Source organism: Homo sapiens, chromosome 8, assembly GCF_000001405.40.
Source record: "Homo sapiens chromosome 8, GRCh38.p14 Primary Assembly".
Classification (NCBI taxonomy): domain Eukaryota; kingdom Metazoa; phylum Chordata; class Mammalia; order Primates; family Hominidae; genus Homo; species Homo sapiens.
Window position 1 is genome coordinate 144,161,806 of NC_000008.11, and position 21,406 is coordinate 144,183,211.

Here is a 21,406-nt window from a genome sequence, read left to right on the forward strand (position 1 = left end):
TGGACGACGGAGCTGGGCAGTGCTGGCTACCCGCAGGGCACAGCCTCTGGTCCCAGAGCCCGGCCACTCAGCCCAGCTTCTCCGCCTCCCAGCTCAGCTCAGGCCTGGGAACTCTGGCTTGTGATGCTCCACGTCAGGCGTGCCCTTGTCTCTGGGAAGTATGTGCTGTGGGCGCTTTCACAGGTTTTCTGCCCTGCCTGGGAGCCACTGCCCTCTTCAGCTCTTAACTCTTCCACAGCTTGGGATCTTTATGGAATATGTTTTTTTGTTTTTCTTTTCTTTTTTTTTTTTTTTTTTAAGACAGAGTCTCACTCTGTCGCCCAGGCTGGAGTGCAGTGGCACGATCTCAGCTCACTGCGACCTCCACCTCCCGGGTGCAAGTGATTCTTCTGCCTCAGCCTCCTGAGTAGCTGGGATTACAGGCACGCGCCACCACACCCAGCTAATTTCTGTATTTTTTTAGTACAGACTGGATTTTACCATGTTAGCCAGGCTGGTCTTGAAATCCTGACCTCAGATGATCCGCCCGCCTCAGCATCCCAAAGTGCTGGGATTACAGATATGAGCCACTGCGCCCGGCCCTGTTTTTCTTTTCTTTTTTTTTGAGACAGGGCTCGCTCTGTTGCCCAGGCTGGAGTGTAGTGCAGTGGTGCAATCTCGGTTCACTGTAACCTCCGCCTACCAGGTTCAAGCAATTCTCCCACCTCAGCCTCCTGAGTAGCTGGGATTACAGGCATGAGCCACCAGACTGGCTAATTTTTTTGTATTTTTAGTAGAGATGGTGTGTCACCATGTTGGCCAGGCTGGTCTCAAACTCCTGGCCTCAAGTGGTCCACCTGCCTCAGCCTCCCAAAGTGCTGGAATTACAGGCATGAGCCACTGCACCCGGCCCATGATGTCTTTTTTCTTTCTTTCTTTTGTTTTTTTTTTTCTCTGAGACAGAGTCTCACTCTGTCGCTCAGGCTGCAGTGCAGTGGTGTGTCCTTGGCTCACTACAACCTCCGCTTCCCAGGTTCAAGTGATTCTCATGCCTCAGCTCCCTGAGTAGCTAGGACTAAAGGTGCCTGCCACCACGACCGGCTAATTTTTGTGTTTTTAGTAGAGACAGAGTTTCATCATATTGGCCAGGCTGGTCTCGAACTCCTGACCTCAAACAATCCACCCACCTTGGCCTCCCAAAGTGCTGGATTACAGGCATGAGCCATCGCTCTTGGCCAAGATTTCTATGATTTCTTACTTCGCCTCCAACCCATGTGTGCACAGCGCAGGGAGGTGTCCTGGCTGGTCAGGGATGGGTCATGGTGTCTCTCCTTCATTTTTCTCTGGAGTATGTTAGCAAGGAATGGTGGATGGGAGGTGATCAAGGGAATTAAGGGGCTGGTGGGAGACTCAGAGAACAGAGAATGTGAGTGTTAGGATGCTGGCTGCCATGCTTATGGTGGGCCTGCAGCCCCTCTGATGACGTAGGTCCTCAGAAAGCGTGACACAAGACTTGAATGTGTGTCCGTGGTGAAGAGGCAGAGGGAACTTGGACGCTTCCTGGACTCGATTCTTAGGGACCATTGTTGCATGCAGTGGCGCATGGCATGTGATGTGTGAAAGCTGTGGTGCCCGTGCTCAGTTCCTCACAGTGTGGAGGAGGATGCTGTAGGTGGAGGTGCATCCACTCCTGCTGGGGCTGATGGTGACGAGGTGACACTGTGGGCCAGCTGTGGACAAGCCTGTGCAGGCCAGTGAGGTGCTGGTAGGGACTGATGGGTGCTCAGGGATGGAGGAGAGCTGGAAACTGTTGAGGATCATGATGCCTTTTGCCCTCCCTGAGTGGCTCAAAGAAAATGTGACGGAGATATTTCCCCCAGAATAAATTCATTTAAATTGTGTATTTTACATGGAAATGGTAATTGCCTGTGAACTCAGATATCGTAGAGGCTTATGAATTAAATCTTGTGATTTTGGTTATTCCAGATGGGAGAAGAAGTTGTCCATGTTCACACTGGGTGAAGGAAGCTGAAACCACAGACATGACTGAGTCCTCCATGAAGAGTGAGTGCATGGGGATTGGGAGTGGCCGGGTGTGAGGCCTCTCTTGCCTCTGGGTGGTCAGGGCAGGCCAAGGCTCTTACCAGCTCCAATGGTGCCTAGAGTTTCCACCCTATACTCGGGAGCCTGAGTGGGTTCTGGGCAGGTTGGGTGATGTGGCAGGTGTAGACTTCTCCCACACGAGCCTTCAGTTTGGGACTCCAGAAAAGCACATGGCATCCAGGATGTGATTTGAAGGTTTGTTTTACTTTTTTTTTTTTTTTTTTAAGACAGGGTCGGCTGGGCACAGTGGCTCACGCCTGTAATCCCAGCACTTTGGGAGGCCAAGGCAGGCGGATCACTTGAGGTCAGGAGTTTGAGACCAGCCTGACCAACATGGTGAAACCCCGTCTCTCCTAAAAATACAAAAATTAGCCAGGTGTGGTGGCAGTTGCCTGTAGTCCCAGCTACTCGGGAGGCTGAGACAGGAGAATCGCTTGAACTCGGGAGGCGGAGGTTGCAGTGAGCCGAGATCGTGCCACTGCACTCCAGTCTGGGCGATGGAGTGAGACTCGGTCCCCCCAAAAAAAAAAAAAAAAAGACAGGGTCTCCCACTATCACCCAGGGTGGAGTGCAGTGGTGCAATCATGGCTCACTGCAGCCTCAAACTCCTGAGCTCAGGTGATCCTCCTACCTCAGCCTCCCAAGTAGCTGGGCCTACAGGTGCATGCCACTATGCCCAGAAGTATTTTTCATAGAGATGAGATTTTGTCATGTTGGCCAGGCTGCTCTTGAACTCCTGGGCTCAAGTGATCCACCCTCCTCAGCCTCCCAAAGTGCTGGGATTATAGGCATGAGCCACTGCGCCCGGCCTGGACTGACTGTTGAATGAACATGCTCTCTCCAGGTTTTCATCAGAAAAAAAAAATTAGCAGTTTTCAAAGGCTGTTCAGGCTGCTGTAACAAAATATCTTAGATTGGGTAATTAATGAATAATAGAAATGTATTTCTCACAGTACTGGCAGTTGGGAAGTCCCAGATAAAGGCACCGGCACATTCAATGTCTGTGAGGGCTGTTTTCTGACTCATAGATGGAGTCTCTTGCTGTGTCATCTCATAACTGGAGGGGCTGAAGGGACTAGGATGTCCTTCAAGCCTTTGTTTGTTTGTTTGTTTTTTAAGGCAGGGTCTCACTCTGTTGTCCAGGCTAGAGTGCAGTGACCTCCTGGGCTCAAGCCATCCTCCCACCTCAGCCTCCCAAGTAGCTGAGATTACAGGCATGTGCCATCACACCCAGCTAATTTTTTTTTTTTTTGAGATGGAGTCTCACTCTGTCGCAGAGGCTGGAGTGCAGTGGATCTCAGCTCACTGCAACCTCCACCTCCTGGATTCAAGTGATTCTCCCTGCCTCAGCCTCCAGAGCAGCTGGGATTACAGGTGCCCGCCACCATGTCCGACTAATTTTTGTATTTTTAGTAGAGATGGGGTTTCACCAGGTTTGCCAGGCTGGTCTCAAACTCCTGACCTCAGGTGATCCATCTACCTCGGCCTCCTAAAGTGCTGAGATTACAGGCGTGAGCCACCGCGCACAGCCCACACCCAGCCTATTTTTTAAAATTAGTTTTTGTAGAGATGAGGTCTCGCTATGTTGCTCAGGGTGGTCTTGAACGCTTGCCTTCAAATGATCCTCCTACCTCGGCTTCACAAAGCACTGGGACTATAGCGTGAGCCACTATGCAGGGCCTCAATCTTTTTTGTGTGTGTTTTTGAGACTGGGTCTTGTTGTGTCGCTTATGCTGGAGTGTGGTGGTGCTCTCTCAGCTCATTGCAACCTCTGCCTCCTGTCCTCAAGGGATCCTCCCACCTCAGCCTCCTGAGTAGCTGGGACTACAGGTGCATGCCACTACGCCGTAATTTTTGTATTTTTTTTTTTTTTTTTGTAGAGACGGGGTTTCACCATGTTGGCCAGGCTGGTCTCAAACTCCTGGACTTAAGTGATCGGCCTCCCAAAGTGCTGGGATTATCAGCAGGAGCCACTGTGCCCGGCCATCAGGCATTTATTTTTTCCCCATCGAGATGGAGTCTCTGTCTGTTACCCAGGCTGGAGTGCAGTGGCGTGATCTTGCCTCATGCAATCTCTGCCTCTGAGGTTCAAGCAATTCTCCTGCCTCAGCCTCCTGAGTAGCTGGGACTATAGGTACCTGCCATCACACCTGGCTAATTTTTATATTTTTAGTAGAGATATGGTTTCACCATGTTGGCCAGACTGGTCTTGAACTCCTGACCTCAGGGGATCCACCCACCTTGGTCTCCCAAAGTGCTAGGATTACAGGCGTGAGCCACTGCGCCCGACCCCATCAAGCATTTTTATAAGGCTCTGATCCCATCCATGAAGGTGCAGCCCAAAGGCCCCACTCTTAATGCCATCACATTGGGGGTTAAGTTCCAACATATGGATTTTGGAGGGACGTGGCGTGGAAGTTGTAGCAGCATTGCCGGTGTAGTAGAGAGCACAGATTTGCCCAGAGGCTCAGTTCAGCCTGCTCGGAGCGGGAGGCTCCCTGGGTGGCCGAGCCTCTGCACCTGAGCACGCAGGCCCCGGTTCAGCTCTGGGGTCCGCTCGGGCTGCCCCCGCGTCCCCAGCTGAGGCTGTGGCTCCCTTAAGGCTGACTGTGTGCGGGGCCAGGATGGGTGAAGCTCTGCCCACTTGTCCCTGCTCCCTAGAGCTCTGTCCAAGGGATGAGCCACACCTCAGGGCTCTATAAGTGCCACTGTTGGGTGCCATGTCTTGAGCTTGAGGGACACCGAGAGGCCCGGAATGGCACTGGGGTGTTGATGGGTGGAGGTGGGGTGGTGAGAAGCGTCTGTGAGTACAAGTGGGGCTGGGGCGCCGCCCAGCCAGGGCACTGCAAAGCAGTGAGGAGGTGGGGTCGAGGGAGGGGGGACTAGCCTCACTGCCCTCAGAGGGCAGGCTCCCAGAGCACGTGAGACCTGGTGCTTCCACACGTGAACGGCCACAGCCGGAAAAGCAGATGCAGACCCAGTTCAGTACGGGCCGGGTTTGCTTTACTGGCTGAATGTGGCCTTAGGTACAGTCAGATCTCATTGATTTGGATCAGCCTGTTTGTCTAACTACTGGACTTTGGAAATGGAGGGCTGTTAAAAGTCCAGCTTCCTGCTCAGGAAGGAATATCTTCCCAGAGGGAGACTGAGTCACGCACTGATGCCTGTGTGTTCCTCTGCCCCAGCAGGTGCCTCCTGGGATGTCCTCGTTGGCAGCCTGGGTGTGGTGCTGCTGGAGCAAAAGAGAGGGGACATCCACAAACCAGCCTGGAGGGTCTTGTTGGGGTGGAGTGGCCGGTTGTTGGGGTGGAGTGGCCAGATGTGGGGTGGAGTGGCCGGTTGTGGGGTGGAGTGGCCGGTTGTTGGGGTGGAGTGGCCGGTTGTTGGGTGGAGTGGCCGGTTGGGGTGGAGTGGCCGGTTGTTGGGTAGAGTGGCCGGTTGTTGGGGTGGAGTGGCCGGTTGTGGGGTGGAGTGGCCAGATGTGGGGTGGAGTGGCCGGTTGTGGGGTGGAGTGGCCGGTTGTTGGGGTGGAGTGGCCGGTTGTTGGGTGGAGTGGCCGGTTGTTGTGGTGGAGTGGCCAGTTGGGGTGGAGTGGCCGGTTGTTGGGTAGAGTGGCCGGTTGTTGGGGTGGAGTGGCCGGTTGTGGGGTGGAGTGGCCAGTTGTTGGGTGGAGTGACTGGTTGTTGGGGTGGAGTGGCTGGTTGTCGGGGTGGAGCGGCCAGTTGGCACAAGTCCCTGGGATGCTTGGCCTGCCCTTTCCCATGTACAGGGAACCACCTGGCCTTGCCTGTAGAGCACTACATTTATTCAATGATTTTCTTGATTCAGCTGTGGTCCATGGGGACTGAGAGCCATAGGATGAGGCTATGTCTTTATTCCTTCATGTATTTCTCACTGCTGGGGTCTTGGACCCTCTGCCCAGCACCTGCCTGTCAAGGGCTATGTGTGGGCAATGGGGCCATGGGGAACCCCAGGCTGCCTGGGCATAGACCCTCGGGGAGCCTTCCTGAAGGGTCTGGCTGGTGAGTGAGCCAATGTCTTCAAGGAAGCTCAGGCCATGTGATCAGGACCAGAACAGCCTCATGCCTGCCTGTGTGGGAGGCAGGCTATGTCCTCTGTGTCGCTCAACCCTGATGGGCTAAATAGTGTGTCCTGGCCAGGCAGCTCCTCAGGGGCAGCTGGAATGTGAGCCCTACAGCTCCACAGCCTGTCACCGCAGTGCACCTGACCCCTGCAGCAGCTCAGGTGGAGGGAGGTTATACAAGAGAGAAAGCAGCTGTGCCCTCTCCTGCTCTGTGTCTGTGATCCTCAGAGGCTGCAGGTGTGTCCACTGCAGGAGTGGCAGCCGAGGTGTGATAGGAGAGGGCGCTTGGGCCTGAGCATGCTAACCAGGCTTTGTCGCTGCAGAGCTGGCCTCCACCCTGCTGGACGCCATCACCGATAAGGACCCCCTGGTGCAGGAGCAGGTCTGCAGTGCCCTGTGCTCCCTCGGGGAGGCGCGGCCGGTGGAGACGCTCCGTGCCTGCGAGGAGTATCTGCGGCAGCATGACAAGGTATGTGTGCTCCTTGGTGGGGATGATGTTGTCAGGGCCATGGTCGGTTGGGGCTTACTTGGTTTGGGAAGAGACAGTCCAGCCAGGAGCAGTGGGTCGGGTGTTACGCAGGGGTGGCCACATGTCTAACCCCCTCCACACGTGCCTATGTCAGGGTGGGTAACCTGCCTTGTCTCATCATGAGTGGGGTATGGCCACATCCCCCCACCACGGCACTGTTCAACCCTCCTGGTCGAGGCTCTTTGCTGCCCCTTTTACTCACTAAGTGGAGGCCTAATGGCCGGGCTGTGTGCCTAGTGCCTGAGGGACAGACCATGGTCCCTGCCTGAGGGACAGAAGGTTGTTTCTGAGAGAATCTCATCAACCCAAGGGGCCAGAAACACTGATAAGTGCTCAGAGAGTCCCCAAGGGCCCGGCGCTGCTGGTCTTCCTGCACCCTCAGGGAGGGGCTGCCCAGGAGGGGCCAGGGCCTTGCCTTGCTGTGCTGGAATGTCCTGTCCTCCCACTCAGGAGAGCTACAAGAGCCTCTTGGGAACTCTCTCTTCAGCCTCACAGGGATGCCAAATCAGTGATCCGAACCCTAGGACAGACGTGGCCCGGCTGGCTCTCACCTCCCAGGATTTCGGCCTCGCCTGATCTTGGTTCAGTGGTTCTCTGTCACCGCTGACAGCGTTAGCACTGCATTGTTTGAAACTGTTATGCACGCTTTCTAGTTTTTCTCTGTGTGTGTGGTTTGGGCTGTTCTGGGAAGGGGAAGAGGCTTTTGCAGTATCAAAAGGCCATTATTCTTTTTGTTTTATTTAACATTTTGGTATGTAAAAAGGGACCTCTATACAGTGTATTTCTTATCAGCTACCATCTCCTGGGGAAGATGACCCAGTTCCATGAAAATACCTGCCCACTGCCGTGGCCTGGCGGCACTTCCTGGGGCAGGGTCTCTCCTTTCTTCCTCTGTCAGCTGTCTTAGCTGTTTATTTATATTTTTATTTTTAATAAATTTATTTATTCATTATTGTTATTTTTTTTTTTTGAGATGGAGTCTCACTCTGTTGCCCGGGCTGGAGTGCAGTGGACCATCTCGGCTCACTGCAACGTCCACCTCCCGGGTTCAAGCGATTCTCCTGTCTCAGCCTCCTGAGTAGCTGGGACTACAGGTGTGCACCACCACACACGGCTAATTTTGTATTTTTATTTTTATTATTTATTTATATATGTTTTTTGAGATGGAATTTGGCTCTGTCACCCAGGCTGGAGTGCAGTGGCGTGATCTCGGCTCACTGCAACCTCCACCTCCCGGGTTCAAGCGATTCTCCTGTCTCAGCCTCCTGAGTAGCTGGGACTACAGGTGTGCACCACCACACACGGCTAATTTTGTATTTTTATTTTTATTATTTATTTATATATGTTTTTTGAGATGGAATTTGGCTCTGTCGCCCAGGCTGGAGTGCAGTGGCACGATCTCGGCTCACTGCAACCTCCACCTCCTGAGTTCAAGCAATTCTCCTGCCTCAGCCTCCCAAGTAGCTGGGATTACAGGTGCCTGCCACCATGCCCGGCTAATTTTTGTGTTTTAGTAGAGATGGGGTTTCACCATGTTGCCCATGTTGGTCTCGAACTCCTGACCTCAAGTGATCTGCCAGCCTCGGCCTCCCAGAGTGCTGGGATTACAGGCGTGAGCCACTACCTGGCCAATATTTACAGGTTTTATGGCTGCCTTGGGGGAGAATGAGGAGGAGAGAGAGGAGGGCAGAGCAGATCTGAGAAGGACTTTGCTCCTGAGCCTCCGTTCTGGGGTGTCCTCCTCTGAGCCCCAGCCACTCCATGCTTGTCCTACTTTGTTTCTGATTTTACCCCTTTTCTAACCTTTACATTTTTTTAACTGAATTTTTAAAAAGTCTGCCTTCACAGTTGCATATTTACATATTATACACATGCTGAGCTGGAAGCACTGACCCTGTGGGCTGTGACCCTTCCCAGGGACTTTCCCTGCCCTAGTCCTCTTCTGTCGTCTCCTCCTGCAGACCGCCTCCAGGAGGTTTGGGTCACAGCCTCCAGTTTCTGCCATTTGTTTGTGGATCTCACCGCATTTGCACTTCGCTTGATTGCGTCTTGCCTAGATAGCAGGCATGGTTCAAAGCCCACTGAGTCTCTCCAGAAAGATGTGGAACAATAGGGAAAAGCAATGCCACATCCCCCTCCAGGCCTCAGATGTCAGCACAGTGTCCTGGGGTACTCCTGGAGCTTTACAGGTTTCAGCTCCTGTCTGGCGTCTGTATCTGTGGTTCTGTTTTTATGAACCCAGAGGCCCATGACTTTGTAGCATGCCACCTGTGCCACCAAGGGGTGCTGGGCCTCACGGTTTTAGACACATCCAGTCTTGTACACGTCAGCCAGGGTTCTGCACAGGACAGACAGACTCCTCAGGGGCCGTCAGGCCATGGGGAGGGACGGGATTTGGGGAAGAGAAGCAAGAATAGTAAAACTGGATTTTCAAATTCTGTGAGTGGAAAAACTCAAACTCACATTGTTTTCTCTGCTCTTACACCACGCAACAATCAACACAGAAGATTTCTGTGACCAAATGGGGGGGATTTCTCTCCACCAGTAAACAGCAGTCAGTTGTGCAGTGGACACCAGCTGGGTGTCCTCAATTCAATCCCAACACCATCCACCTGGAGGTCGCGTCAGATCTGGCAGGTGGAGGGCTCAGTCCCACACAACAGCCCTGCTTCTGATGCCAGTCGCAAGCCCCAGGTGTGGCCTGTGCTTCTGACCGACCTGCCATGAATCAGGGTTTTCACGACCCCCTCCTCAGGCTTGATGAATTGCAGCAGTGGCTCACAGAATGCAGGGACAGAGTGGCCTGCGTTTACCCATTTATGACACAGGCTGTGACGAAGGGTGCGGGTGCCCAGCAGGTGGAGGAGACGCTTGGGCAGGAATGGGGAGGGGCGCGGAGCTCCCGGGCCCTCCTGGGAACCACCTCCAGGCACCTGCGTGGGTTCCGCTACCGGAAGCTCCTTTTGAGGGTTTGTGCTCAGTTGCGCTCATGCTCACTTGAGGCATTCTTCCCTTACCAGCCAAGTGTTTCTAGAGGAGGGCCATATACCGGTTAAACACCACCATTTCACCTCAGTGTGCTTGCTGGAGCCCATTCACCCAACTCCTGAGATCCTCTAAGGAAGCTGCTGTCACCAGCCTTAGGTGTTTTCTTTCTTTTCCTTATTCCGCCATGCAGAAGCTTTAGGTGTTTTCCATCTGTTGTGAGACTGTCTTTCCCTGGTGCTGGCAGTGACCAATTATTATTTTAGAGAGACACCTAAACAACTGCCTGACCATCACCTGATGACCGCCTGACATTCCTAGTTGGGGGCCTCTCCTGCCCTGTTCATGTCTGCCTAGTGGCCTACTCTAACACCCTCTTGTCCAAGGAGACCCGGGAGCGACGTGGAAAACTACCTTCCAGGCTACGACAGACAGAAAGGAGATTGGACATACCTCGTTATACCTGCTCCCTTTTGGAGTTTGGACAACCAGCGAACATTAGGTTAAAACAGAGATCGTAAGTCTGACAAAACAGACTCCTTGTAGCAATAAAATTCCAGACTGGACTCTGGCATAGCATCACGTGATAGATAGTGGGCCCTGAAGGAAATAAAAGTATTTTACCCCAAAATCTATTCTTGACATATTTTGAAATGGCCCTGCAAAACCATATTTTGTGGAGGAAAATTGCATCTGTGGAGAATCTCCTTCCGTTTCCAGGTCTTTTTCTGATCCAGAAGAGATTTAACTAAGAGTCTGACACCTTTAAGGTCTGAAAAGAGACATTTACTATCTATTATCTCTGAAGGCTGCTATCTGGAGGCTTCATCTACGTAACAAGAACCTTGGCTTTCACAAGCCCCTTTAATTCAGGCGTTTCTGTCTGCTGACTTCAAGTCCTTAGGCAACATTTAACTTTTTTTTTTTCTTTTTTTTTTTCCCCCGAGAGGGAGTCTTGCTCTGTCGCCCAAGCTGGAGGGCAATGGCGCGATCTCGGCTCACTGCAACCTCCACCTCCTGGGTTCAAGCGATTCTCCTGCCTCAGCCTCCTGAGTAGCTGGGATTACAGACGCGTGCCACCACACCAGCTAATTTTTGTATTTTTAGTAGAGACCGGGTTTCACCGTGTTGGTCAGGCAGGTCTCGAACTCCTGACCTTGTGATCTGCCCACCTTGGCCTCCCAAGGTGCTGGGATTACAGGTGCGAGCCACCGTGCCCGGCCAGTCTAACTCTTTTAACCAGTTGTCAGTCAGAAAATCTCTGAATCCACCTACGCCCTATAAGCACTCCCTGAGATGTCCCACATTTCTAGGCTGAACTAGTGTACACCTTCCATGTATTGATTTACGTCTTTGCCTGTAATTCTGTCCCCTAAAATGTATAAAACCAAACTAACCTGACCATCTTGGGTGTACTTTCTCAGATGTTCCCTGGGCCGTGGTCAGTCATAGTGGCACAGAATAAACCTTGTTAGGTATTTTAGAGTTTAGCTTTTTTGTCAACAGTATTTTTATTTAAAGGGGCTTATTATGTGTTTGCTTTCCTTGAAGAACTTTCCTAAGTGGGCCTTTTCCAACTGTGAATGGAGGCAGGGCTGTGAAAGTTATGGTACTTTTTTTTTTTTTTTTTTTTCCTGAGGCAGAGTCTCGCTCTGTTGCCCAGGCTTGAGTGCAGTGGTGTGATCTCAGCTCACTGCAACCTCTACCTCCTGGGTCAAGCAATTCTTGTGCCTCAGCCTCACAAGTAGCTGGGACTACAGGCACGTGCCACCACTCCTGGCTAATTTTTTTTTTGTAGTTTTAGTAGAGATTGGGTTTCGCCATGTTGGCCAGGTTGGTCATGAACTCCTGACCTCAAGCAATCCACCTGCCTTGGCTTCCCAAAGTGCTGGTGATGTAGGATTCTTCTTTTTTATTTATTTATTTATTTTATTTTTATTTTATTTTTTTTTTTTTGAGACAGAGTCTCACTCTTGCCCAGGCTGGGCTGGAGTACAATGGCGCAAACCGGCTCGCTGCAACCTCTGCCTCCTGGGTTCAAGCAGTTCTCCTGCCTCAGCCTCCTGAGTAGCTGGGATTACAGGTGCACGCCACCACACCTGTCTCATTTTTTTGTATTTTTAGTACAGGTGGGGTTTCACCATGTTGGTCAGGCTGGTCTCAAACTCCTGACCTGATCCACCCACCTCGGCCTCCCAAAGTGCTGGGATGACAGGCCTGAGCCACTCCGCCCAGCCATAGGATTCTTCTTCTTGGTCCCTTTGCAAGCCCTAGCGATGCCCCACCTGGGCCTTGCCCAGCCATGCTGGCGTGCCTCAACTTGCCTACATTATAGCTTGTAACTGTGTTTGGCGGTTCCTGAGCTCTTACACCACACCCAAGAAGAATGAGGATACAGTGGACATTGAAGGGTGAGGAGGGCAGAGAAGAATTTTATTGAGCGATGAAAATGGCTCTTGGGGGAGAGGGGAGCTGGAGAGGGGACAGGAAGGACAGGTCATGTTCCCCAAAGTCAGGCTGTCTCTTCGCCCAAGTTAGGCCACCTCCCCTCTGCCAACTGAGTCTGGGGTCTTTATAGGCACAGAATGAGGAGTGTATGCTGATTGGTTTGTAAGTCTGCAAAAGAGGTTAAAGTGAAGACACCACTCAAAGGTGGGCGTGATGGTATAGAAAGCCAATTAGAAAAGGGTAGGTATATGTAAAATAGGTGAAGGGTGGGGATCAATCAGAGGAAAGCACACCAGACAGGAAGACAGGCTCTCAATCTGGTCCCAGGATTTTACTTGTAGCTTGGCTTTCAGGCTTTAAACTGTTTTTGGCTTGGAGGTGGGGTTTCTCAGGGGACCCACCCCTCTCTACCTAGGCATTTGGCTGCCTCCTGTCACTATCATGGGGATTACAGGCATGAACCACCATGCCCGGCCAAAAGTATGGTACTTATACCATAAAATCAAACAATTCAAACCAACCCTGGAACACAAGTAATACATAACCTTTTTTTTTTTTTTTTTAAATTCAGGGATGGACTCCCTCTGTTGCCTAGGCTGGAGTGCAGCGGTGCAATTTTGGCTTACTGCAGCCTTGATCTCCCGTACACAAGTGATCCTCCTGCTTCAGCCTCCGAAGTAGCTGGGACCACAGGCGCACCACCACACCTGGCTAATTGTTTTTATTTTTTGTAGAAACAGGGCCTTACTATGTTATCCAGGCTGGTCTTGAACTCCTAGGCCCAAGTGATCCTCCCACCTTGGCCTCCCAAAGTGCTGGGGTTACAGGTGTGAGCCACTGTGGCTGGCCCTATCCATTTTTTGTAAAATGTAGATTCCTATGCCTTTTTCATGGGTTCCTATGTTTTCCAGTTGCATAACCCATTGCAGACTTGCTGAGTCAGCCTGTCACCCTGCACTGAGCACTCAATCACCAGGACACAGAGTGACAGATGGAGATGCCACAGTTGTGAGTGGAATCTGGAGAACTCAGTCCCAGGACTCACTTCTCCCTATTGTTTTCCTCTGGAAAAAAGCAAAGATTTCCCTCAAACTTCCTCATATACATGAAGAGAATTAGTAGCTAAAGATGGAAGCATAATGCAACTTGAGATGTGTTTCCAAGATCAAGAACCAGAGGAGATGGCAGCTGTGGGTCTGGTCAGGTGGGTATTAATGCCCTGCTGCACCTGAGCTTCTCCTCCCAGCAGCGGATCTGGTCGAGTGGGTATAAATGCCCTGCTGCACCCAAGCTGCCCCTCCCAGCAGCGGGTCCGGTCGGATGGGTATAAATGCCCTGCTGCACCCAAGCTGCCCCTCCCAGCAACGGGTCCAGTCGGATGGGTATAAATGCCCTGCTACACCTGAGCTGCCCCTCCCCCCCTCCCAGCAACAGGTCTGGTCGGATGGGTATAAATGCCCACTTGCTGTACCCAAGCTGCTGCTCCCAGCTCAGCCATGCTCTGACTAGATAGAACCAGACCAATTTACACTGATTTTCAATTCTTTCCTCCCCAGTTCCTGCACTATACCGGCCGTGCTGCCCCGGCAGTTAATCCACCCACTTAGAGCCTCAGCTCTGCGACGTCCCAGGTGGGGATGGGCTTCTCAAGGACTACATTGTCTCCTACCTGGGAAGAGTGTCTAGATTATGAAAGTCAGAAACAATAGGCTGGGTGCCAGGGCACACGCCTGTAATCCCAGCACTTTGGGAGCCTGAGACAAGAGGATCGCTTGAGGCCAGGGGTTTGAGACCAGCCTGGGCAACACAGACCCCATCTCTAAAAAAATAAAATATGCCGGGCTCGGTGGCTCACGCCTGTAATCCCAGCACTTTGGGAGGCCGAGGCGGGCAGATCACGAGGTCAGGAGTTTGAGACCAACCTGGCCAACATGGTGAAACCCTGTCTCTACTAAAAATACAAAAATTATCCAGGCGTGGTGGCACGCGCCTGTAGTTCCAGCTGCTCAGGAGACTGAGGCAGAAGAATTGCTTGAACCTGGGAGGCGGAGGTTGCAGTGAGCCGAGATCATAACACTGCACTCCAACCTGGGTGACAGGGCGAGACTCTGTCTCAAAAAAATAAATAAATAAAAATAACTATCGAGGGCTGGGTGCAGCGGCTCATGCCTGTAATCCCAAAACTTTGGGAGGCAGAGGCGGGTGGATAACTTGAGGCCAGGAGTTCAAGACCAGCCTGCCTGGCCAACGTGGCGAAACCTCATTTCTACTGAAAATACAAAAAAAAAAATTAGCCAGGAATGGTGGTGCATACCTGTAGTCCCAGGTACTCGGGAGGCTGAGGCATGATCATCACTTGAACCTGGGATGCAGAGGTTGCAGTGAGCTGAGATTGTGCCACAGCACTCCAGCCTGGGTGACAGAGCGAGACTGCATCTCAAAAAAAAAAAAAATTAGCTGAGTGTGGTGGTGTGTGCCTGTAGTCCCAGCTACTTGAGAGGTTGTGGCAGGAGGGTCTCTTGAGCCTGCAAGTTCAAGGTGCAGTGAGTTATGATTGCACAACTGCACTCTAGCCTGGGTGATGGAGTGAGACCCTGACTCAGAAAAAAAAAAAAAAAAGAAATTTGGCCCGGTATGATGGCTCATGCCTATAATCTCAGCACTTTGGGAGGCTGAGGCAAGCGGATCACAAGGTCAGGAGCCTGGCCAACACAGTGAAACCCTGTCTCTACTAAAAATACAAAAATTAGCCAGGCATGGTGGTGCACACCTGTAGTCCCAGCTACTCGGGAGGCTAAGGCAGGAGAATCACTTGAACTCGGAAGGCGGAGGTTGCAGTGAGTTGAGATTGTGCCACTGCACTCCAGCCTGCGCGACGAGTGAGACTCTGTCTCAAAAAAAAAAAAAAAAGAAATGATTCTCTAATACAGAATTTAAATACAGTCTGCCTGCAGAAGCCTTAAGGGAAAGGGAGTCATGTGTAGCCGGTGGGTGGAGGTGGCTGGTACAGTGAGACTGATTCCCCACCTGCCTCACTCTTGCCTCACTGCGGCGCCAACACTCACGGATGGGAAATCTAACAGTGAAAATCAACCCCAGCTGAAGTTCTTCCCCTGGAGAATTGGCAGGTTCCACGTGAACTTAGTGTTCCGTGCTGAGGCTTGTGACCTACATTGGCTATTTTGAAGAACAAAAATCACTCCCACTCGTGGGCCTGGGGCTAAACCATGACAGTTTGTAACTGGTTTCGCAGAGTGGCAGTGAGCAAGTCTGTCTGCTGCTACTGATGCTGGGACTCTCAACGTTTGAGATAGTTGCGTGATTCTGAACATGTATGCCACAGCCACGTGCGGCACGTGTATGTGGGCCTGGGAGCTGCCTGGCGCTGCCCCGTCACTGGCACTGCTGCATGCCAGGGCCAAGTGCGTGTCAAGTGGCTGGGTGTCAACTTCAAATAGTTTCTGAACAAAACCAAGACTTTCACGAAGCTCCCAATCCTTCCTACTATTGTTTCTCCTCCAAACGACCTTGTCACGCTTTCCTTCAAATGTCCTGCGTGGCTGTCTTCACTGAGCCGGTAGCACTTCTCCTATGTGGGCCCACCTCCACCTGCCGTGGCGGCCATAGCTGTCAGAGTGGATGAGGGGAGTGCAGACCCTGTGACCATCAGTGTCTGATCTGGTTTGAATCTGTGTCCCCACCCAAATCTCATGTTGAAATGTAATCCCCAGTGCTGGAGGTGGGGCCTGGTGGGAGGTGACTGGATCCTGGGGGCGACTTCCCCCTTTGATGCTGTTCTCATGATAGAGTTCTCAGGAGATCTGGTTGTTTGAAAGCATGTGGCTTCTTCTCTTCCTCCTCCTCTGTCTTCCTCCTGCTCAGGCTATGTGAGATGTGCCTGCTTCTGCTTCATTTTCCACCACGATTGTGTTTTCCTGAGGCCTCCCCAGCCATGCTTCCTGTACAGCCTGCAACTTTGAGCTAATTAGACCTTTTTTCTTTGTAAGTTACCCAGTCTCCGGTATTTCTTCTTCTTTTTTTTTTTTTCTTTGAGACAGTCTTGCTCTGTCGCCCAGGCTGGAGTGGTGTGATCTCGGCTCACTGCAACCTCCACCTCCCGGGTTCAAGCTTTTCTCCTGCCTCAGCCTCCCAAGTAGCTGGGATTACAGGTGCCGGCCACTGTGACTGGGTAATTTTTGTTTTTTGTGTTTTTTTTTTGAGACAGAGTCTTGCTCCGTGGCCCAGGCTGGAGTGCAGTGGCGCGATCTCGGCTCTGCAACCTCTGCCTCCCGGGTTCAAGCGATTCTTCTGCCTCAGCCTCCCGAGTAGCTGGGACTACAGGTGTGCGCCACCACACACGGCTAATTTTTGTATTTTTAGTAGAGACGGGGTTTCACCATATTGGCCAGGCTGGTCTCGAACCCCTGACATCAGGTGATCCGCCCGCCTCAGCCTCCCTAAGTGTTGAGATTACAGGCGTGAGCCACCACGCACGGCCTGTACTTTTTTTTTTTTAGTAGAGACAGGGTTTCACCATGTTGGCCAGGCTGGTCTTGAACCCCTGACATCAGGTGATCCGCCCGCCTCGGCCTCCCTAAGTGTTGAGATTACAGGCGTGAGCCACCGCGCCTGTTCGGGTTTTTGCAGGTCACCTCTTTATAGCCATGTGAGAATGGACGACAGAGCCTGTGGGCCTCTGGGCCGCCCTGTGCCGGCCATGTTGCCTGGTGCAGGCTGCTCTCAGGGTGGTGGAGGGAGGGGCCATGGTGGGTGCATCATTGGGGAGGGGCTGTCAACACAGGGTGGCTGGGTGCCCCAGGTTCCTTTCCTGGGTTGGGCAGTAGCCTACTCTGCTGTGTGCCCCCGCGGGTCCCAGCTTTCAGTCCCAGTCCTTGGTGTGTCCCCAGTTGAGGCAAGGACAGTGTGTGCTCTTTGGATTTACAGTGGAGGTGGTGGTCGACAGGAGAGCTGCTTAGGGGGAGGATGAAGGCAGGTGGTTGGACTCTGCGGAGGGTTAACCTGGGAGGTGGAGGTGGCTTGGGGGCGTGGCAGAAGGTGGTGTGGTGGGTGGCGTTTTTCCTTAGCAGCCTTGGGGAGGGGCCGTTGGATACAAGCACTAGCCTAGCGGCAGAGACTGAGGCCATGACCACTGAGCTGGGGACAGGAGTGTGCTCCTCCTCTGACAGGGGAGGGCAGGGCAAGGAGGTGGAAGGGTCCTGGGAGTGTCATGTGACTGGGAGACCCTACTGACTACCCCTGGAGGAGAGAAGCCCCCCGCCTCGCCCTCTGCATGTTGGTTGTCTGGCGCAGGATAACGCTCCACCCTTCTGGAGATGGGCCGTGAGTGTGAGGCTTGCAGGCCGGCTTTTAGGGCGTGAGGAGTGATCAGGTGTACCCCTCCCCTCCTGCACTTGAGGCAGAGAGATTTGTGCGGTTTCATCTTGTAGAGACAGTGACAGGCACTCAGAGTGTCTGGGTGTGGGGCTCACCTGGGACCGACCTGGACGGTGTCTCTCCGCAGCTGGCACACCCATACCGAGCAGCGGTCCTGAGGGCCATGGAGAGGGTCCTGAGCAGTCGCGCCAGTGAGCTGGACAAGGACACAGCCAGCACCATCATCCTCCTGGCCTCCAGCGAGATGACCAAGACGAAGGTATTCAGCAGGCCCTCTGGCCTCGCAGACTCAGGCCTAGCTTGGGAAGGGAAGCTGCTTCTTGGCCTTTCTACCCAGCAGCCTTGAGAGTATAGGGTGGTGTTTGGCTGCCTTGGGCTGGCAGATGCCCTTCGGTCTCATGCATCACCCTGCAGGGGTGGGGGGTGGTCCCCTGTGATTTTCAGAGGCAGCAACTGAAGCAGAGAGCAAGTTGCCAGAACTCAGCACACGCAGGACCGTGGTGTGCGTGCAGCTGGGGCCAAAGGCTGTGCCCGGCATTGGGGTTGGTGCAGGGCTCTGGTGGGCCTAACTCTCAGGGCACTGAGTGCAGCCCCCTCTCACCAGGGCTCTGCTGCTCCTGCGTGTGGGGTCTCCTCAGCAGCCCCTCACCTCTCACCAGGGCTCTGCTGCTCCTGCGTGTGGGGTCTCCTCAGCAGCCCCTCAGCAGAGGAGGCTGTGCCCGCCACCTTCCCTGACCTGCACTTTCTGGGGACGCTGAAAACAGCGTGCGCTTGTCCAAGGCTGGCAGCGACTGAGGGCAGAATGTCTTGGTCTTGCCTTTTGGTCTACCTGCCGGTGTTTTGGGTTCAGGACCTGGTCTGGGACTGGCAGCAGGCGGCGAGTGGCGTCCTGGTGGCCGTGGGAAGACAGTTCATCAGCAAGGTGATGGAGGAGCTGCTGCGCAGGCTGCACCCTGGGACCCTGCCACACTGCGCCGTGCTGCACACCCTCGCCAGCCTCTCGGTGGCCAACGGTAGGTGACGCGCGGCCTGCCCCAGGAGGAGCACGGGGCGCTGGAAGCCTTGGCGGAGGCCTTTGACGGTGTCCTCTCTCACAGCGTTCGGCGTAGTCCCCTTCCTGCCATCCGTCCTGAGCTCCCTGCTGCCCGTGCTGGGCGTGGCCAAGCAGGACACGGTGCGCGTGGCCTTCTGCTCCGGTAAGAGGCGGCCTCGTCACCTTCTGTCTCAAGTGCCCCTTTGTGGGGGGCTGTTCCCGGGCATGCCTGTTTTAGGGGGGACAGGTGGGCACTTTAGGCTGCAGGAAGGGGGGCTGTTGGAGGGAGGGGCCCCCTGGCTGAGGCTGCTGGCTGGTTGGGGGGCCCATGTGGGGCTGACACAGCCTCTGTCTCTTGTTTCTCTCTACTCCTGGAGAGCCCCCCACCTTACATTGTGGGTCCACTGAGGGCTGGACGTGCCTGGGGGGTAGGAAGAGACTTCCTCGAAGCCATGACTTTTTGTTTTCCTCCCCACTCCAGGCTAGAAAAGTGTCCGCTCTCTGGGCATCCCAGGACCCAGGGGATGGGGGCACATTCATTCACCCCCACCCTCTGCCAGGAGCCCCATTCCTGGCAGCACTGCCCACAGCCCTCTGTGTGCCTGGCAGGGGACTGCGGGCATGTCATGGGCCTGGACCTTGGTTTCCCCTGCCACTGACAGTGGGGGAGTGGTTGGTGGGATTGGAGGGCATTTCTGTTAGAAGGGGGTGTGGAGATTAGAGATCCTGAGCTACCCTTAGTGCCCTCACAGCCCACGGCCTCGTGCTCCCGGTGTCCCATGTCAGGAAGACGGCCAGCCCTGGTAGCTGGCCGGGAGGAGAACAGGACCCTCGTGCCCAGGGGACCAGCCCTCGTAAAGAGCCAGCCCTCTGGGGCCGGGGGCCGTTAGTTCCAGGCAGCAGGTGTGGGAGGACCCAGTGATGGGGGAGGGGCCCGGTGATGGGGGAGGGGCCGGTGATGGGGGAGGGGCCTGGTGGGGCCCGGGCAGGGCATGTTTTCGAAGCATGGAGGGAGTGGTTACAGGGCTGGGCTGGGCTCTGTAGACTGCAGGGTTGGTTTGGAGCATTTGGACCCACCTGCTCTGCTCCTGGTGACTTTGGGTTCAGATCACAGGGCTCCTGCCACCCTCTCCTCAGCCCTTGCGCTCCGTCTCTCCTGGCCCTGCTCTTTGATAAATGCCTTCATCTTTGGGGCACTCCTTCACAGGCTCTTTCTCACCTGTGGATGAGGGCAGGGCCCCTTGGGTAGAAGGGATAGTAACTCCATGTGACCCAGTTTTGGCTAAAAATGGGATTGGTGACAGGATGGGGGCAGCTGCATACTGAGCCAGGTGTGAAGGAGCAGAGAGTGGAAGTGGGTGTGGGTGTGGACTCAGCTAAGGTGCCTGGGGCGCAGGACGTGCCATCCAGGCTGCAGGGCGGAGACAGAACGGGGCCGCTGGGGCGCCTGTCTCTGTGCTGCACGCACATCGCCCCTTCCCGCCACTCCTCTGGGAAGTGGCCTGATCCCTGCAGCTGCTGAGGCTCTAAGCAGAAACGGACTTGCAGTTCTGACACCTCTTGCTTACCTTCCCCTTCATAGGGGACCTGCGGCTCCTCTGGGCCCTACCATGCTGGCATTTTCCTCCATGTGTCAAACACATGGGTTCAGCCAGCGAAGATTCCATGGGACCTCCTCGTGTGGGACGTGTGCTCCCCACCACAAATGGAACGTTCCCTGTTTGCATCTGGAGGGGTTGGTGGTCCTGCTGGCTGGAGCAGCCTGGGGCCAGAGGAAGCCGTATCAACCGGGTGAGGCCTAGTGGTGGGGGCGGTGGCAGGCCTGCGTCCACTGCGGGAGGGTGCAGGTCCAGCCAGGACAGGCAGTGTGCCAAGGACAGGAGTGCCCTCAGGGCACTGCAGCCAGGAGGCGAGGAGCCTCAGGGAAGACTCCCAGTGGTGGAGGCACGGCTGGCCTGGCCACGCCGTCCAGCAGGGCAGGCATCCAGTAATTCCTCCCGGCCAAGGAACCCCTCCAGTAGGAAAGGTGGCAACAAAAGAAACAGACACTAATTGGAGATGTAGATGGTTCAGGGAGAAGAAAATAACAGAGAAAGAAAATCTCTGATTAATATCCTCAGGAAAATAAGTGGGCATCATGCATTCACGGGACAAGAGGTGTCACCATGGAGAAGCCACATTGAGAGAATAAAACTGACCTTCTGTGAATTAAAGATGCCATAATAGAAATGGGAAAAATAATAGAAGAATTGGAAGAGAAAGTTGTGGAAATTTCCAGAAAATAGAGGAAAAAGGCAAAAATATGGAAAGTAGGAGAGAAAGAGAAGAATGAACTAGCAGGCTGAACCCTGAAGCCAGCATTCCAATCAGAGGCACCCTAGAAAGAATGGACAGAGATGGGAGGTCAAGAGATGACGCAAAGGCATGCCCTAGTGGCCGGGTGCGGTGGCTCATGCCTGTAATCCCAGCACTTTGGAAAGCCGAAGCGGGCTGATCACTTGAGGTCAGGAGTTCAAGACCAGTCTGGCCAACATGGCAAAACCCCGTCTCTACTAAAAATACAAAAAAATTAGCCGGGTGTGGTGGCGCATGTCTGTAATCCCTGATACTGTGGATGAGACAGGAGGATTGCTTGAACCTCGGAGGCGGAGGCTGCAGTGAGCCAAGATTGCACCACTGTACTCCAGCCCGGGTGACAGAGTGAGACTCTGTCTCAAAACAAACAAATCAAAACTAGCTGGGCATGGTAGCTTACGCCTGTAATCCCAGTACTTTGGGAGGCCAAAATGGGAGGATCACTTGAGCCCAGGAATTCGAAACCAGGCTGGGCAGCATGGTGAGACCCCATCGT

At 53.7% G+C, this 21,406-nt stretch overlaps 1 protein-coding gene across 44 annotated transcripts in view, besides 8 other annotated features; it reads left to right on the forward strand.

The window, feature by feature from the left end:
* The window catches only part of MROH1 (maestro heat like repeat family member 1), a 113,911-nt gene that overhangs the window by 13,790 nt on the left and 78,715 nt on the right, over positions 1-21,406 (forward strand). For 42 of the 44 annotated variants that reach the window (XM_047422170.1, NM_032450.3, XM_047422189.1 and 39 more), the window contains 5 exons: positions 1,966-2,043; positions 6,490-6,635; positions 17,650-17,781; positions 18,373-18,535; positions 18,620-18,718. In XM_047422170.1, the coding sequence (XP_047278126.1) occupies positions 2,022-2,043; positions 6,490-6,635; positions 17,650-17,781; positions 18,373-18,535; positions 18,620-18,718 (562 nt within the window). In that variant the 5' untranslated portion in view covers positions 1,966-2,021. Of the gene's footprint in view, positions 1-1,965; positions 2,044-6,489; positions 6,636-13,039; positions 13,333-13,684; positions 13,760-17,649; positions 17,782-18,372; positions 18,536-18,619; positions 18,719-21,406 lie in introns of those variants that run through there. The other 2 variants (XM_047422187.1, XM_047422188.1) reach the window with 2 other exon arrangements.
* Positions 3,473-3,624: a silencer, noted in NCBI's record as "fragment chr8:145220181-145220332 (GRCh37/hg19 assembly coordinates)". NCBI's record gives its function as "represses an EF-1alpha promoter that drives an FKBP-Casp9 reporter gene in an ReSE screen in K562 erythroleukemia cells {active_cell/tissue: K562}" and the evidence as "EXISTENCE:reporter gene assay evidence [ECO:0000049][PMID:32094911]".
* Positions 4,182-4,682: an enhancer, noted in NCBI's record as "H3K4me1 hESC enhancer chr8:145220890-145221390 (GRCh37/hg19 assembly coordinates)". NCBI's record gives its function as "activates a minimal SCP1, AML or CMV promoter by ChIP-STARR-seq in naive H9 embryonic stem cells {active_cell/tissue: H9 hESC(naive)}" and the evidence as "EXISTENCE:reporter gene assay evidence [ECO:0000049][PMID:30033119]".
* Positions 6,137-6,638: an enhancer, noted in NCBI's record as "H3K4me1 hESC enhancer chr8:145222845-145223346 (GRCh37/hg19 assembly coordinates)". NCBI's record gives its function as "activates a minimal SCP1, AML or CMV promoter by ChIP-STARR-seq in naive H9 embryonic stem cells {active_cell/tissue: H9 hESC(naive)}" and the evidence as "EXISTENCE:reporter gene assay evidence [ECO:0000049][PMID:30033119]".
* Positions 6,639-7,138: an enhancer, noted in NCBI's record as "H3K4me1 hESC enhancer chr8:145223347-145223846 (GRCh37/hg19 assembly coordinates)". NCBI's record gives its function as "activates a minimal SCP1, AML or CMV promoter by ChIP-STARR-seq in naive H9 embryonic stem cells {active_cell/tissue: H9 hESC(naive)}" and the evidence as "EXISTENCE:reporter gene assay evidence [ECO:0000049][PMID:30033119]".
* Positions 9,005-9,506: an enhancer, noted in NCBI's record as "H3K4me1 hESC enhancer chr8:145225713-145226214 (GRCh37/hg19 assembly coordinates)". NCBI's record gives its function as "activates a minimal SCP1, AML or CMV promoter by ChIP-STARR-seq in naive H9 embryonic stem cells {active_cell/tissue: H9 hESC(naive)}" and the evidence as "EXISTENCE:reporter gene assay evidence [ECO:0000049][PMID:30033119]".
* Positions 16,384-17,197: an enhancer, noted in NCBI's record as "H3K4me1 hESC enhancer chr8:145233092-145233905 (GRCh37/hg19 assembly coordinates)". NCBI's record gives its function as "activates a minimal SCP1, AML or CMV promoter by ChIP-STARR-seq in naive H9 embryonic stem cells {active_cell/tissue: H9 hESC(naive)}" and the evidence as "EXISTENCE:reporter gene assay evidence [ECO:0000049][PMID:30033119]".
* Positions 18,737-19,454: an enhancer, noted in NCBI's record as "H3K27ac-H3K4me1 hESC enhancer chr8:145235445-145236162 (GRCh37/hg19 assembly coordinates)". NCBI's record gives its function as "activates a minimal SCP1, AML or CMV promoter by ChIP-STARR-seq in naive H9 embryonic stem cells {active_cell/tissue: H9 hESC(naive)}" and the evidence as "EXISTENCE:reporter gene assay evidence [ECO:0000049][PMID:30033119]".
* Positions 20,260-20,432: a silencer, noted in NCBI's record as "fragment chr8:145236968-145237140 (GRCh37/hg19 assembly coordinates)". NCBI's record gives its function as "represses an EF-1alpha promoter that drives an FKBP-Casp9 reporter gene in an ReSE screen in both phorbol 12-myristate 13-acetate-treated (for megakaryocytic differentiation) and untreated K562 erythroleukemia cells {active_cell/tissue: K562 | K562(+PMA)}" and the evidence as "EXISTENCE:reporter gene assay evidence [ECO:0000049][PMID:32094911]".